Consider the following 17,207-nt stretch of genomic DNA (forward strand, 5'->3'; position numbering starts at 1 on the left):
TTTACAGCGAAATCTAGCAAAGAATACAAAGTGTCCCCACCTATCCCTTCTCACCTCCATCAGTGCCCCCCGGCTGTGTGGTAGAGTCGTGAGCCAACGCTGAGACATCATTATCTCCGCAAGCTCATAGTTTACATTAGGGGTTGCTCTTGCCGTTGGACATTCTGTGGCTCTGGATGGATGTAGAGTGACATGGACCCACCATTACAGTCACCTCTGGAGCAGCGTCACTGACCCCAGAATCCTCTTTCTGCTGCCTATGCATCCCTCCGTTTCCCCAAATCCCTGGCAACCACGGATCATTTTTTTGTTTTGTTTTTTTGGTTTTTGTTTTTGTTTTTTTTACTGTATCTGTGTTTTTGCCTTTTCCAGACTATCATCTAGTTGTGATCATAAAGTGTACAGTAGCGTTTTCAGATTGGCTTCTTCCACTCAATGATATACATTGAAGGCCCTTCCATGTCTTCTCAGGGCTTGGTAGCTCATTCCTTTTTTGACTGAATAATATTCCGTTGTCTGGATGTGCCAGTTTGTTGATCCATTCACCTGCTGAAGGACATCTTGGTTGCTTCCAAGTTTTGGCAGTTATGAATAAAGCTGCTGTGTACATCTACGTGTAGGTTTTTGTGTGGAGATAAGGTTTTAATTCATTTGAGCTCAATTGCTGGATCGTATGGTAAGAGTGTGTCTCGTTTTGGAAGAAACTGCCAAACTCTCTTCCAAAGTGGCTGTGCCACATTTATTCACCGGTGGCGAACGAGAGTCCTGGCTGCTCTGCATCCTCACCAGTATTTGGTGGTGTCAGTGTTCTGGATTTTGGAATTCTGTTAGGTGTATTGTGGTGTCTTGTTGCTGTTTCAATTCGCATTTCCCTGATGAGGTATGAAGTGGAGCATCTCTTCAGATGCTTATTTGCCATCTGTGTATCTTCTTCAGTGAAGTGTCTATTAAGGTCATTGGCTCATTTGTATTTTATTTATTTTTATTTTTATTTTATTTTTGAGATAGGGTCTCACTGTAGCCCAGGCTGGAGTGCAGTGGCACGATCCTGGCTCACTGCAGCCTCAATCTCCTGGGGCTCAAGTGATCCTCATGCCTCAGCTTCTGGAGTAGTTGGGACTACAGGCACATACCACCATGCCCAGCTAATTTTTCTATTTTTTGTAGAGATGGGGTCTCGCTATGTTACCCAGGCTGCTCTCAAACTCCTGGACTCAGGAGATCCACCTGCCTTGGCCTCCCAAAGTGCTAGGATTACATGCGTGAGCCACAGTGCCCGGCCTTGGCCTATTTTTAAATCTGCTTGTTTGTTTCCTTACTGTTGAGTTGGAAGTGTTCTTCATATATTTTGGATACAAGTCATGTGTTTTGCAAATATTTTCTCCCAGCCAGCGGCTTGTCTTCCCTGTCTCTTGATCCTGATATCTCCTAAGCATTTGATGTAGAGTTAATGATTAATGAGCAAGATATTGAGACCTCATCAACTAGATCTAAAGAAATCACTAGGCCAGACACATAATCCCAGCACTTTGGGAGGCTGAGGCAGGTGGATCACCTAAGGCCAGGAGTTTGAGACCAGCCTGGCCAACGTGGGGAAACCCGGTCTCTACTAAAAATAGAAAAATTAGCCAGGCGTGGTGGCTCACGCCTGTAATCCCAGCACTTTGGGAGGCTGAAGCGGCAGATCACCTGAGGTCAGGAGTTTGAGACCAGCCTGGCCAACGTGGTGAAACCCCATCTCTACTAAAAATACAAAAATTAGCCGGGCGTGGTGGCACACACCTGTAATCCCAGCTACTCAGGAGGCTGAGGCAGGAGAATCACTCGAACCCGGGAAGCAGAGGTTGCAGTGAGCTGAGATCGCGCCACTGCACTCCAGCCTGGGAGACAAAGCGAGACTCTGCCTCAAAAAAAAAAAAGAAAAGAAAAGAAATCACTAGGTAGCTGCGACATTGAACTGAAGGTTGAAAGTATTAAGTTTCTTTGTGGACTTTAAATAACCTTCAGGAGAGAAATCTCAAAGCTCTAAACCAGCAACCGAGAATTTCCTTCAGGGCATCCATCTTTTACACGGAGCCATCAGTTGTGTAGATGATGGGTTGCCCCAAAACACTAAGACGCACCAGTGAAGGGAGGGGAGCTGTGGCAGGGGGGCCTGCACTGCCCCCGCCTTTCCCCCCAGCAACGCCTGGGCTGGGAGCTGGGGGTGGGTGAGACCCTGGCTCAGGCCCCACTCAGGACAGTTTGAGGGACAGGCAGATGGGGGGACTGAGCCATGGGGGTCTCACCACCCAGACTTGGGGTTTTGGGCCTCCCTGGAGGAAGTGGTCCTGGCTGAATGTCTAGGATGGATGTAAATTAGCCCAGGGAGGGGGAGGGGGCTCCTGAGGAGACCCCCAGGCAGGCTCCCAGTGGCTGAGCAACGGTGCAGCCTGTGGGCTGTGGCCAGCCCTGGTCGGGGGCTGGAGAGGTGAGCAGCCCTGGCGTCCCACAAACACAGGAGCTTGGAACCCTTGCTGGGGCTTGGCAGGGGTGGCCGATTTCAGTGGTGCTTTGGGGAGTGGGGAATGGACGGAATGGGGGAACGGCGGGGAGGCAGGCTGGCAGGAATGTGGCACGGGGCACAGGCAGTGCCCCGAGGAGGTGGCGTGGGTGGGCGCAGGCGTGGCTGTGATTTCCACGCTGTTTTCTAGCGGGCTGCAGCCCCTCTGATGCTGAAATGAAAAAGGACCCAGATCCTTGTTTGTGGGAGGGGTGGGAAAGGATTTGCAAGGAGTGTGGTCTCTTTTGGACGATTTTTCAGACTTCTTCTCGTTTCCAGGCCCTCTGTGCTCACGTGACCCCTCTGATAGCGTCAGGGCCCGTAGAAAAGTGGCTGTGGCATGTTGGGAAGGCCAGCGGGCCTCCTAGCCAACGAAAAGGGGGAGTGGCTGGTCCGAAGTTGGGGGATATAGACAGGTGAGGGACCAGGGCCATAGTCACTGTGGTTTCTATGGGGAAGAGGGGATGGTGGAGGTCCTATTTGGAGCTGTTGTGTTGTGAGGCTCTTTACAGACCCTGCCAACAAAGAGAAAGACAATTCCACACTGTTATCTCTAAACCCAAACCTCCTTCGAGCAGAGGCCGTCTCCGTTTGGGGATGGACAGCTGTTGGTCCAAGAAGGAAAGGCACAGTGAGGTCACTGCGACGCTGCCCAGCACCTTCATGGGAAACGCTCCTCAGGGTGGTGAGTGGAACTCCCTGGAGACCATTTTCCAGTGAGGGCCTATCTCTTTCCTCTTGGGCTGAGAGGAAGTGGGTGGCTCAGCTACATTTCCTTTGATTATTATTCTGACTATAATCTTCAAACCCTACATTTCTCATTGTGTGTTCCGCCCATGCGTTCTGTTGTCCGGGGCAGCAAAGTCGACCTGCACCACGTGGGTGTTTTTGTTTTCTTTTGTTTTGTTTTGTTTTCTTGAAGGCCTACTAAGAGCTGTCGGAAACTCTGCTTCTGTAGAAAAGGTAAAGGCACTGCTTGGCCACAAGTGATGACTCTTCCCTGCCTTTCGGGGCTTGGGGAGGAAGGGCAGGTTCTCGGTGGTTCTCCTAGCACCTTGGTTACAAACCTCCCAGCAGAGTCAGATCACCTTGGCAACCCCACACTCATCAAAGGGACTCTGCCTTGATTCCCTCCCCACCGCTGTGGAATTAATATCGATTGCACATCCTGAAATTGCTTACCCTCGCGCTCCCTGTCCAGTCGTCAGAATAATTAAGGGGTGTTTATTGGATGTAAGTGGGTTCATCCCTGCTGCGAGTATGGATTTTAAGTGCTCCGTTGGATTGATTCCTCCCTGCTGTGGTTGGCACAGGGCAGGTACCTTTACCGAGCTGTTTTCTTCTTTTCGAACATGCGGTTCCATCACATAAAAGACATACCCTATGAAAATGTCTCTGCCTTAGCTGTACATGTTACACTTTAGGTTTCAGGTGAAAAATTGGTTTATCTCCTAATATGTCTGCTATTTGTTACATCACATAGAGGCTGCAAAACAGATTAATAAGCTTTGGAGGATATTATAAGCATACGTTGGCCCAATGGTATTAATTTGCTTATCCATACTAATTGCTGTCTTGGTAAAAGAAGGCGGACACAATGCAATCAATCCTAGAAGTGTTCTGTGGCTTTGCAACTTTGAGATACCTCAGGCTGACATATTCAAATGAGAGCCTTCTCTCTGGTTACAAGAAAAAAATGGAATGAGCAGCAGTTTTGGCCTCGTCCAGTCTCTAGGGCTCCCAGCATCTGGGTAGTAACATGATCAGCCCTGGGAAACCAGCGGAGTCTTTTACCTCCTCTGATGTTCTGACTAAGAGTGTCTGGGCCGTGGGGACTGAACGCACCCTTTGAGGCTATGTGTGTTAAAGTTTGGGGGCCCATTTCTTCATTTCTAATATGGGGCAGTGTGGGCAGATCCCAGCTCTGCGTTTCTGAGCTGCTGAGTTTGCCCTGGTTCTGAGAATGCCCGTCGCGGTGGTGCAGTCCGCCTCCTTGCACTGGATCTGTTGCTTCTTCTCTCTAAGCCTCTGTTCCTGATGGTCCCTTGTGGAGCAAAGCAGCACTTGTGGTGTAAGGAAGGAAAGCCTCATCAGCAATTGAGTGAGCGCTCAATCAGAATTCGTTATGGATGAATGTGGATGACTGGAGGCATTGACGCAGACACCAGAGTCCAGAGCTGGTACGTGGTACAGCAGAAGTGGCAAGTCAGCTCAGTTTAGGACAAGTACCTAACCCTGTGTTGAGAAGGATTCTGTGGCTGAGTCTGGGCTTAGGGAAAAAGAATGCTGGGACCAGTCAGCCACACTACCAGTGTGTATGGAGGGTTAGTTGCTGAGTGGCTGTCACCCCCAGAACAGGAGCCTTTTCCAGCTCTAGTGCTGTGTCATTTCAGCAGCACTGGCTGCTTTATTCCCATTGAGTGCCGTGCAACAGCTAGTTGGCTGTTGGTAACAAAAGTTGTGTGAATCGTTTAAGATATTGCAGTGAGAATGTTGGTATCTTAACTCTTCCCCTAGCTGTCTGTGGCTAGGAAGCATCTCCAGTGCTATTGTTTTTTTCTTGAGACAGAGTCCTGCTCTGTTGCCTAGGCTGGACTGCAGTGGCATGATCTCGGCTCACTGCAGCCTCTGCCTCCTGGGTTCAAGCGAGCACATCCAGCTAATTTTTTATATTTTTAGTAAAGACAGGATTTCATCATGTTGGCCAGGCTGATCTCAAACTCCTGACCTCAACTGATCCGCCCACCTCGGCCTCCCAAAGTGCTGGGATTACAGGAGTGAGCCACCACTCCCGGCCCCCAATACTTTTTTGAGGTATACTTGGCTGAGTAACTGTTTAGCGTGTGCAGAGAAGCAGGTGTTTCTGAGCTGGAATTCCTTGTACCCAGAAATGTGAGGGCAACTCACATGGGCACCAGGAGGCATTTTTGCCTTCCTCACCAGCCTACGGCATCAGAGAACATTTGGCAGTCTCTGAGTGGGAGTTCTTTACGCTTGCCTGATAGTAGTTGGAGGCCTGCTCCTTTAAGCTTTGCCACTTGAAGTGATGAGCTTGGTTTTGGCCTTTGAACCTTTACCTGCCAGCCACCCACAATCAGTCGGTAATGTTGGTTTCCCCAAGCAACGCCATCTTAGGAATTTCTTTGCTTGTTCTCTTACAAAGTCATGCATTATTATACGTGTTTTCATTTGAAAAATTACAGTTCCACAGGATCTAGACTTGAATGTTAAGCTATTAAAAAGTTAAAGAGGGAGTGAAAATGTTAGCACTCCTAGGGCCTGCGTACGTTGCTTGCTCAAATCCAGACGCTCCTGGAAGCAGCTGTCTCAGCGGAGCCCTGTCTGCCCTTGTTGTTTTCTGCTTCTCAAGTTACTCCAGACTCCAGGGAACTAGAACTGACCAGGCCCCACTTTAAACATGTGGATGGAGTGCCCCTGACAAGGCTGGAGAAAGGGGGAGGTCCGGGGCGGGGCCTCATGCGCATATGGTATTCAGAGTTTATTTTTGCTATAAATGGAATTTGAAGAATATATATATATATATGAACATACAAATAAAAATATATAAAGAATATATGTATAAAGAATATAAAGAATAATTTTGGAATTCATTGCATTGTGTCTGCATTCTTTTACTGCAACAGCAATTATAATTATAATTATATTATAAAGAATATATATTCTTTATACATATATATTTGAGATGGGTGTCTTTATACATATATATGTTTGAGATGGGTGTCTTTATACATATATATGTTTGAGATGGGTGTCTTTATACATATATATGTTTGAGATGGGGGTCTTTATACATATATATTTGAGATGGGGGTCTTTATACATATATATATGTTTGAGATGGGGGTCTTGCTGTGTTGCCCAGGCTGGAGTGCAGTGGCTGTTCACAGGCCAGATCATCAGACACTGTAGCCTTGAACTCCTGGCCTCAAGGGATCCTCCTGCCTTAGCCTCCTGAGTAGCTGAAACAATAGGTGCACACCACCATGCCCAGCTCTTGAGAAGCATCTGGCCCATAGCTTAATTTGAAGTGTCTTCATCCCTGTCTTTTTTCTTTTTGTTTTAAAATTAATAGAATTGACCCTTGAACAGCACAGGGGGAAAGAGGCACTGACCCCCATGCAGTCAGAAATCCACGTGTAACTTTTTTTTTTTTTTTTTTTTTTGAGACGGAGTTTCGCTCTTGTCACTAGGCTGGAGTGCAGTGGTGCAATCTTGGCTCACTGCAACCCCTGCCTCCCAGGTTCAAGTGATTCTCCTGCCTCAGCTTCCCGAGTAGCTGGGATTACAGGCGTGCACCACCACACCCAGCTAATTTTTGTATTATTAGTAGAGACAGAGTTTCACCATGTTGGCCAGGCTGGTCTCAAACTCCTGGCCTCAGTTGATCCGCTCACCTCAGCCTTCCAAAGTACTGGTATTACAGGCATGAACAACTGCACCCGGCCACCATGTGTAACTTTTGACTCCCACAAAACTTAACTAGTGATAGCCTGCTGTTGACTGGAAGCCTCACTGATAACATAAACAATTAACAATATTTTGTATGTTCTATGCATTATGTGCTGTATTCTTACTACAAAGTGAGCCTGAGGAAAGAAAATGTTATTAGGAAAATCATAAGGAAGAGAATATGCATTTATAGTACTGTGCTGTGTTTATTGATGCTGCACGTTTACAACATGCGTTTACAAGATGAATGCTCTGAAGTGGCCGGCAACTGCAGCTGCAGACCTCACCCTACCATACAACATCTCAAGCTATTCAGCTTCTTGGAATGTCACGCTTTTCTTCTTTTCTTTTTCCTTTTTTTTTTTTTTTTTTTTGAGACGGAGTCTCGCTCTGTTGCCCAGGCTGGAGTGCAATGGTGCGATCTCGGCTCACTGCAGCCTCCGCCTCCTGGGTTCAAGCGATTCTCCTGCCTCAGCCTCCCAAGTAGCTGGGATTACAGGCATGTGCCACCGTGCCCGGCTGATTTTTTTGTATTTTTAGTAGAAATGGGGTTTCACCGTGGTGGCCAGGATGGTCTCGATCTCCTGACCTTGTGATCCGCCTGCCTCAGCCTCCCAAAGTGCTGGGATTACGGGTGTGAGCCACCGCGCCCGTCCGTCAAGGCTTCTTGGGAGCACTTACAGCAACACAAGTGGTGCTTTGTATGAGTCCCATAGTGTTATTCAGGGTTTACGGTATTGCACTAAACATGATGAAAAATACGTGGGAACCCAAACAGATCACTTTTTTTTTTTTTTACTATGATATGGAATTTACTGGAGCGGTGAACTGCTCAAGTGGAGATAATTAACATCAAATAATGTTCTAAGCAATGCAATAGCAACAGGAGGCGGCTACTATTACAGTGGTGCAGTATGGACTGCAGTTAATTTTATGCAGTTATTATTGAATACTGCATCTTGGCTGGGTGCAGTGGCTCACGCCTGTAATCCCAGCACTTTGGGAGGCCGAGGCGGGCGGATCACTTAAGGTCAGGAGTTCGACACCAGCCTGGCCAAATGGTGAAACCTTGTCTCTACTAAAAAGATAAAAATTAACCAGGCGTGGTGGTGGGCACCTGTAATCCCAGCTACTCAGGAAGCTGAGGCAGGAGAATCACTTGAACCCAGGAGGCAGACATTGCAGTGAGCCAAAATCATGCCACTGCACTCCAGCCTGGGTGACAGAATGAGACTGTCTCAAAAAAATAAAATAAATACAATAAAATAAATAAATACATAAGTACTGCATCTTTACATTTGTTTACATTTCTCTCAACTGTGAACACAGTCTGTGTGTGTGTGTAAGTTTTGATACATTTTAACTTTTTATAGTAGATTTGTATGTATTTTATGGTGGTAAATGATAAAACAGATGAGTATCTACATATATTTTATGCATTTGTCGCATATCTAACTTTTTCTTAATTTTTAAAAATATTTCTGGGCTACGTGGTTTGCAGTTTTTTCAAATTGTCACAAATCTCCAAAAAATTTTCCAATATGTTTATTGGAAAAAATCTGCATGTAAGTGGACTCATATAATTCAAACCTGTGTTTTTCAAGAGTCAACTGTAATGTCTTTCAAAGTAAAATCTAAATGAGTTTATACTTGATATATATAAGTTTAATAGAAGGAGTGCGTTGGCTCATGCCTGTAATCCCATTTCTCTGCGAGGCTGAGATGGGCGGATCACTTGAGCTCAGGAGTTCAAGACCAGCCTGGGCAACATAGAGAGAACCCCTTTTTATTAAAAATTAAAAAAAAAATCAATCAGGCGTGGTGGTGCACGTCTGTGGTCCCAGCTACTTGGGAGGCTCAGGTGGGAGGCTCAGGTGGGAGGCTGGCTTGAGCCCAGGAGATCAGGGCTGCAGTGAACCATGATTGCGCCACTGCACTGCAGCTGTGTGACAGAGTGAGGCCCTGCATCAAAATAATAATCATAATAAAGATAATCTGAGAAGTGAGGGTAAAAGTTAAAGGAAGATTAAAAACAAAAAAAAAATGCTTATAATCCCAGTACTTTGGGAGGCCAAGGCAGGAGGATCGCTTGAGCCCAGGAGTTTGAGACTAGCCTGGGCAATATAGTGAGACCTCGTCTCTGCAAAAGAAAACAAAACAACAACAAAAAAAGAAAAAACAGCTGAGCATGGTGGCACATGCCTGTAGTCCCAGCCTGGCCAACATGGTGAAACCTTGTCTCTACCAAAAATACAAAAATTAGCCAGGCATGGTGGCTTTTGCTTGTAGTCCCAGCTACTCGGGAGGCTGAGGTGGGAGGATCGCTTGAGCCTGGGAGGTGGAGGTTGCGGTGAGCTGAGATCGTGCCACTTTGCTCCAGCCTGGATGACAGACTGAGACCCTGTCTCAAAAAAACAAAAACAAAAACAAATCAGAATGGAGCTTATAATAATCACACCGTAGCTAAGACTTGGGCACTGCTGATGTCCCAGGTGCTGTGCTAGATGCTTCCTGCATTATTACCTTGTTTACTCCTCACACCAAGCTGGGAAGTCGGTGTTATGTGGTTATTCCCATTTTGCAGATGGGCAAACACAGGCTTAGAGAGGATCGAGGTCATCCTGCCAGCAGGTGAGATTTAACTCCAGGCAGTGTGGCTCTTCATTGCCGCTGACCCTGCTTAAACTGGAAGAATGATTCAGATGGGAGTCATCTTCCCAGCTGGCTCCTAGTAAGCTGATGTCATTCCTGGCATTTAAGCTGCACCCAGCCCCAGTGTTAGGAAGACGCGCTAGAGGAGACACATTAGATCCTTTTTGTGCTGAATGAACTTGTTGGTGTTTATAAGAAGAAGACAGAACCCTAGTGGCTTCATGCTACTCCAGGACCAAGTCCAGATTCTCGCCAGCCACCCAGCGCCTGTCCAGCCCAGCCCAGCCCAGCTCCAGCTCCAGCTCCCAGGTCTTCTCCCTTGGCCTGGCCATGGGGTCTTCGTTTGCTTTCTGTGGGTCCCATGATCTTCCTTGGCTGAAAGCCCTCACGTCCCCTGTTCTCTCTGATCTGACAACTCTCTGCCCTGTTGACTTAAATGTTGCACCTCCAGCAGGGTGGGGGCCCCTCTTTGCCCATTGGCACCATCATGTCCCTGCATTCCTGTTTCAGGTTGTTGGCACAGTTCCTGTCTTCCTGGGGTGTGGTGCATTCCCATTTCACTGGGAGATAATGATGACCATTTACAGTGATCTTTGTGTATTTGCCCAGCAAGCAAGAGGCAGTCTAGTGTAGTGGTTAGGGTGACTGCTCTTGAGGCCAGACTGCATGGGCTTGAACTGATCTTTCTGGGCCCTGGAGCTGTGACCCTGGGGAAGGTACTTCCCCACGCTGTGCCTCAGTTTCTTCTTCTGTAAAGCCTACTTAACTCATAGGGTCATTAGAGAATTGAGTGAGTTATTAAATGAAATGATGTACTTAAAACTGGACCTGGGGCCGGGCGTGGTGGCTCACACCTGTAATCCCAGCACTTTGGAAGGCTGAGGTGGGCGGATCACTTGAAGTCAGGAGTTCAAGACCAGCTTGGCCAACATGGCAAAACCCCATCTCTACTAAAAAATACAAAAATTAGCTGGGCGTGATGGTGTACGCCTGTAATCCCAGCTACTCGGGAGGCTGAGGCAGGAGAATAGCTTGAACCCAGGAGGTGGACGTTGCAGTGAGCTGAGATCACGCCACTGCACTCCAGCCTGGGCGACAGAGTGAGACTCCATCTCAAAAACCAAAAACCAAAAAACAAAAAAGCTGGACCTGGTCAAGCCATCGAGTGGGAGAAAATGTTTGCAAAACACATGTTTGATAAAAGACTGGGGTCCAGGAGATGGAGAGAACTTCCGCAACTCAAGAATAAAAACACAGTCAACGCAGTAAAAGAATAGATAGATAAAGGGTTTGAACAGACACGTCACCAAAGAAGATTGACAGATAGCCAATATGCATCTGGAAAAGTGCTCCCCGTCACCAGCCACCTGGGAAATGCACATGAGAAGAACAGGGAATGCCCCGCAGACCCATGGGAAAGGCTGGAAGATGTGGTGAGAATAGGACAGCTGCTACTCACTCAGGCTGGAGGGATGTGCAGTGGTGTGGCCCCTCAGGAAATCAGCTTGGTAGTTTCTTTTAAAATCAAGTAACCATCCTTCCTATGACCCAGCAATTCCAGTAAATCTTAGATAGATTTGCTCAACAGAAGTAGGAATCTGTGGCTGAGCACGGTGGCTCATTCCTGTAATCCCAGCACTCTGGGAGGCTGAGGCGGACAGATCACCTGAGCTCAGGAGTTCAAGACCAGTCTGGCCAACATGACGAAACCTAAAAATATAAAAATTAGCTGGGCGTGGTGGTGCATGCCTGTAATCCCAGCTACTTGGGAGGCTGAGGCAGGAGAATCACTTGAACCCGGGAGGTGGAGGTTGCAGTGGCAGTCAATATCGTGCCACTGCACTCCAGCCTAAGCAACAGAGTGATACTCTGTCAAAAAGAAAGAAAAAAAAAAAGTAGGAATCTGTAAGAAGACTCTTGTACAGGAATGTTCATAGCAGCTTCATTCATAAGAGCTGGTACTTGGAAACAGCTTGGGGACCATCAGTAGGTGAATGGATACACGGACAGCAGTAATTGACAGGACGGAATGATCCTGGGCAGTGTCAAGGAACAAGGTGCCGGTACAGGAAATCACCCGAGACTCTCAAAACCACTATGCTGAGCAAACCAAGACAGACCAAAAGAGTACACACTGTGTGATTTCATTTCATTTCATTTTTTTCAAAGATGAGATCTCACTCTGATGCCCAGGCTGAAGTGCAGTGGTGCAGTCATAGCTCACTGCAGCCTCGAACTCCTGGCCTCCAGTGATCCTTCTGCCTCAGCCTCCCAAGGAGCGAGGACCACAGGTGTGTACCACTACACCCCGCTAATTTCACTTTTACAATGTTCTACAGCAGACAGAGCTAATCTGTGGTGGTTGCCTCTGGGGCTGTGGGCAGGAGTTGCTTGGGGAGGAGCAGGAGGGATTTTCTGTTGTTATGAAAATATTCTTTACAGTGAGAGTGGTTTGAGATACGCAGGTGCAGCATTTGTCAAAACTCTGCATGTGTACTTTAAATTTGTGCATTTCATGGCATGTACCTTTTAACTCCAAGGAAATAAAAGAACTATAAATAAATACTGAACTCTAATTAGTGATGTGTGTGATTAGAGGGAAAAGTACTGATGTCTGCAACTTACTTTGAAATGTGTTAAAAAAAGATGATATGGTAGACTGAATAGTAGTACCAAAAATGTCTATATTCCAATACCTGGAAACTGAGAATATGTTCTCTTATGTGGTCAAAGGGAATTTGCAGGTGTGATTAAGTTAAGAACCTTGAGATGGAATTAGCCTGGGTTATTTGGGTGGGCCCAGCGTGATTACCAGGGTCCTTATGAGAAGGAGGCAGGAGGGTCAGAGTCAGAGAGAAGTGACCATGGAGGTGGAAGTTGCAATGATGTGGGGCCAGGAGCCAAGGAATGTGAGCAGCCTCTGAAAGCTGCAAAAGCCAGGAAATTGATTTCCTCCTGGAGCTTCTAGAGGGAATGCAGCCCTGCTGACACCTTGATTTTAGCCAGTGAGACCCATTTTGGAGTCCTGGCATCCGGAACCACAAGATAGAAATTTGTGTCGTATGGAGGCCGGGCGCGGTGGCTCACGCCTGTAATCCCAGCACTTTGGGAGGCCGAGGTGGACGGATCATGAGGTCAGGAGATCGAGACCACGGTGAAACCCCGTCTCTACTAAAAATACAAAAAATTAGCCGGGCGTGGTGGCAGGCGCCTGTAGTCCCAGCTACTCGAGAGGCTGAGGCAGGAGAATGGTGTGAACCCGGAAGGCAGAGCTTGCAGTGAGCCGAGATCACGCCACTGCACTCCAGCCTGGGCGACAGAGCAAGACTCTGTCTCAAAAAATAAAAAAAAAAAGAAAGAAATTTGTGTCGTATGAAGTCCCACAGTTTGTGGGAATTATTTCCAGCTGCAATTGGAAATGAATGCTGATGGATTGCTGGATAGATAGAGGGATGGACGGATGTGGAATAAAACAAGTATAGACAAAGGTGGGTGGTGGACTGTAGGCTGTGGGTATACAAGTGTTCACTTCAAACTTTACTTGGCTGGGAGTGGGGGCCCATGCCTGTAATCTCAGCACTTTGGGAGGCCGAGGCGGGTGGATCACTTGAGGTCAGGAGTTCGAGACCAGTCTTGCCAACATGGTGAAACTCCATCTCTACAAAAATACAAAAAATTAGCTGAGCACAGTGACATATGCCTGTGGTCTCAGCCACTTGGGAGGCTGAGGCAGGAGAATCGCTTGAACCCGGGAGGTGGAGGTTGCAGTGAACTGAAATTGTGCCACTGCACTCCGGCCAGGGTGACAGAGCAAGACTCCCTCTCAAAAAATAAAATAAAATAAAGTTCTTTAGATGTTTCTATGTGTTTGAAACTTTTAATAATGAAATACTGGGGGGAAATGACTGGGCCTGATACATAATAAAAGCCCTACAGGCCAGGCACAGTGGTTCACGCCTGTAATCTCAGCACTTTAGGAGGCTAAGGCAGGAGGATTGCTTGAGCCCAGGAGTTTGAGACCAGCCTAGGCTACATAGTGAGACCCCCTCTCTACCAAAAAATAGAAAAAAATAGCCAGGCGTGGTGGCCCATGCCTGTGGTCCCAGCTACCCCGGAGGCTGAGGGGGAGAATGGCTTGAGCATGGAAGGCTGAGGCTGCAGTGAGTCGAGATTGCACCACTACATTCCAGCCTGGGTGACAGAGCGAGACCCTGCCTCAAAAATAAATAAATAAATAAATACATACATACATTCATACATACCCTACATAGGTGTCAGCCTTTGTTCTCATTGGCATCTCATCTCCATTCTTATTGCCACCACGGCCACTCCCCCACTTTATCCATCAGGTGGAGAAGAGGCCTGGGAAGAGAAGAGACCAGGGGCTGGGTTGGTGGTGAGCAGACGAAATAATAAACATACAATGAGGCCATATGACATATTGGGAGAATTGCTTTCACTTAAGAAAATCTAGGCTGGGCGCGGTGGCTCATGCCTGTAATCCCAGCACTTTTGGAGGCCGAGGCAGGTGGATTGCCTGAGGTCAGGAGTTTGAGACCAGCCTGGCCAACAAGTGAAACCCTGTCTCTACTAAAAATACAAAAATTAGCCAGGCCTGGTGGTGGGTGCCTGTAATCCCAGCTGCTCAGGAGGCTGAGGTGGGAGAATCGCTTGAACCCGGGTGGCGGAGGTTGCGGTGAGCCGAGATTGTGCCACTTCACTCCAGCCTGGGTGACAGAGCGAGACTCCGAAGTGAAGGGGCTGGGGCTTTGGAACTGTAGAGGCTCATCTCCCCAGTAAGCTGTCACTTGTGATGTGGTTACAGCTGTAGGCATTTGCAGAGATGGGACGAGAAGACACGCCACCCTGGGAACTGGCCCGTGTCTTCACACGTCCTGCACTGCTGCTGCTGAGAACGTCTGCACTTTGTTAGGGGAAGAGAGTGTTTTAGTTAAATTTATCTGGAAAACATATTATTAGTATAATGAGATTTTAATGATTTGAAATTTTGTTGGAGCAGCGCAGGGAGAATTTCAATCTTAACTGTGTGTGCAGCTGGGCATTGTTTCTATTTTATTTTGTTTCTTTGCTTGGGCCTCATTGCAAGGACATGTTTCTACAATTATTATTTAGTTTTTCTTTCCTAGAGCCCTGCTTTGTTACAGCTCTTAATTTTCTTGTGTAGAAGATCTGCTGGAGAAAAAAGAATATCCTTTTTGTAAATACTTAGCTGGCTTGATCAGAACCAGAGAATGAGCGTTGTTACCGAAGGAGACTTGTGTTTGTTTAAGGTTTACTGGCGCACTCTGTGGTTGCCGTGGAGTGGACCCAACCCAGATGTCCGTTAACTGATGAGTGGATAAGCAAACTATGCTCCATCCATACGATAGAATACTATTCAGCAACGAAAAGGAATGACATATGGATCCATGCTACAACATGGGTGAATCTGGAAAACAGGCTCAGTGAGGGAAGCCATTTGCAAAAGGATAAATACTGTGTGATTCCATTTATTTGAATATCTAGAATAGGCAAATTGATAGAGACAGAAAGTAAGATTAGTGGTTCCCAAAGCCTGGGGAAGGTACAGTGACCCCTCATGGGTACAGGGATTATTTTGGGGGTGACGAAAATGTTCTTACATTGACAATGGTGATGGTTACACAGCTCTGTGAATTTACTAAAAATCATTGAATTGTACACTTATTTATTTATTTATTTATTTATTTTGAGACGGAGTCTTGCTCTGTCGCCCATGCTGGAGTGCAGTGGTGCGATCTCAGCTCACTGCAAGCTCCGCCTCCCGGGATCACGCCATTCTCCTCCTTGGCCACCCGAGTAGCTGGGACTACAGGTGCCCGCCACCACGCCTGGCTAATTTTTTGTATTTTTCGTAGAGACAGGGTTTCACCATGTTGGCCAGGATGGTCTCAATCTCCTGACCCCGTGATCCGTCTGCCTCAGCCTCCCAAAGTGCTGGGATTACAGGCGTAAGCCACTGCGCCCAGCCGAATTGTACACTTTAAAACGGCAAATTGTATGGAATGTGAATTCTGTCTCAATAAAGCTGGTAAAAAAAATAGCGTGGTACTGAGAGGCAGCGCTCAGAGCTTGTGAGATGTTTTTCTCCAGTTGGTATTCGTTGCATGTTTCCAAGGTGAGATCTTTCACCTTGGGGTGAGGGCGGGTGGATCCGGGACAGACATGGAATTTTCAGTCTTCCTCCTCCTCCTCATCTTCCTGTTCATTGCCCCTGCAGTGGTGGCAGCTGTCCCATATCAAGGTCTCACACTGGCCAGGGGCTGGGCTTGGTGCTGTACGCAGATTGTCTTATTAGGACTATGAGGCTTTTGAGATAGGTATGATAATATGTCCTCATTGAGCAAGTGACAATAGGAAACCCCCAGAAATTGTGTGCACTGTTTTGCCTGATCTCACACACTTTGGACAGAGACTTTGATCACATTCTTAGGGGCCCACAAATGGTCAAAAACCTCTGAACTGAGACAGCAGCATTTTTTGTGGTTTTTTTTTTTTTTTTTGAGATGGAGTCTCGCTCTGTTGTCAAGGCTGGAGTGCAATGGCCCGATCTCGGCTCACTGTAAGCTCTGCCTCCTGGGTTCACGCCATTCTTCTGCCTCAGCCTCCCGAGTAGCTGGGACTACAGGCACCCGCCACAGTGCCTGGCTAATTTTTTGTGTTTTTAGTAGAGACAGGGTTTCACCGTGTTAGCCAGGATGGTCTCGATCTCCTGACCTCGTGATCCGCCCGCCTAGGCCTCCCAAAGTGCTGGGATTACAGGCGTGAGCCACCACGCCCGGCCTGTTTTGTATTTTTGAGATGGAATCTCGCTCTGTCGCCCAGGCTGGAGTGCAGTGGCATGATCTTGGCTCACTGCAACCTCTGCCTCCCGGGTTCAAGTGATTTTCATGCCTCAGCCTCTAGAGTAGCTTGGACTACAGGCATGCACCACCACACCCAGCTGATTTTTGTATTTTTAGTAGAGACGGGGTTTTACCATGTTGGCCAGGTGGGTCTCAAACTCCTGACCTCAAGTGATCCACCTGCCTTGGCCTCCCAATGTGCTGGGATTACAGGCATGAGCCACTGTGCTTGGCTTGGGAGAGCAACTTTTAAACTCTCTTTTTATTTTGGATCCATGGTAAGAAATATATTTCCATAAAAACCCCAGTTCAAGCATACATTTACCTATATCCATGAATAAAAGTTTCATGAAATGATATCTTCCTATAAGCACACTGACGTTTGCTACTCTACTGTTCTTTCATTTCATTAAAGAAACGTGCTGTCCAGGCAATCTCAGTACTTTGGGAGGCCGAGGCAGGAGGATTGCTTGAGCCCGGTGGTTTGAGACCAGCCTGGTCAACATAGCAAGACCCCATCTCTACAAAAAATAAAATTAGTCTGGCGTTGTGTTGTGTGCCTGTGGTCCCAGCCACAGGTGCCCCTGCAGGGGCAGGGGGCTTTCAGGTGGGAGGATCGCTTGAGCCCAGGAGTTTGAGGCTGCAGTGAGTTATGATTG

The 17,207-nt window shown here is 47.4% G+C and overlaps 1 protein-coding gene across 5 annotated transcripts in view, besides 2 other annotated features; it reads left to right on the top strand.

Annotated features, from left to right (window-relative positions):
* Positions 1-17,207, top strand: part of PARVB (parvin beta) — a 173,729-nt gene that overhangs the window by 28,792 nt on the left and 127,730 nt on the right. The gene's annotated exons all lie outside the window — the stretch shown is intronic.
* Positions 9,987-10,519: an enhancer, noted in NCBI's record as "H3K4me1 hESC enhancer chr22:44433869-44434401 (GRCh37/hg19 assembly coordinates)". NCBI's record gives its function as "activates a minimal SCP1, AML or CMV promoter by ChIP-STARR-seq in naive H9 embryonic stem cells {active_cell/tissue: H9 hESC(naive)}" and the evidence as "EXISTENCE:reporter gene assay evidence [ECO:0000049][PMID:30033119]".
* Positions 14,178-14,287: an enhancer, noted in NCBI's record as "active region_19204". NCBI's record gives its function as "activates an Ori minimal core promoter by ATAC-STARR-seq in GM12878 lymphoblastoid cells {active_cell/tissue: GM12878}" and the evidence as "EXISTENCE:reporter gene assay evidence [ECO:0000049][PMID:35858748]".

This window comes from Homo sapiens, chromosome 22, assembly GCF_000001405.40.
Source record: "Homo sapiens chromosome 22, GRCh38.p14 Primary Assembly".
NCBI classification, from domain to species: Eukaryota; Metazoa; Chordata; class Mammalia; order Primates; family Hominidae; genus Homo; species Homo sapiens.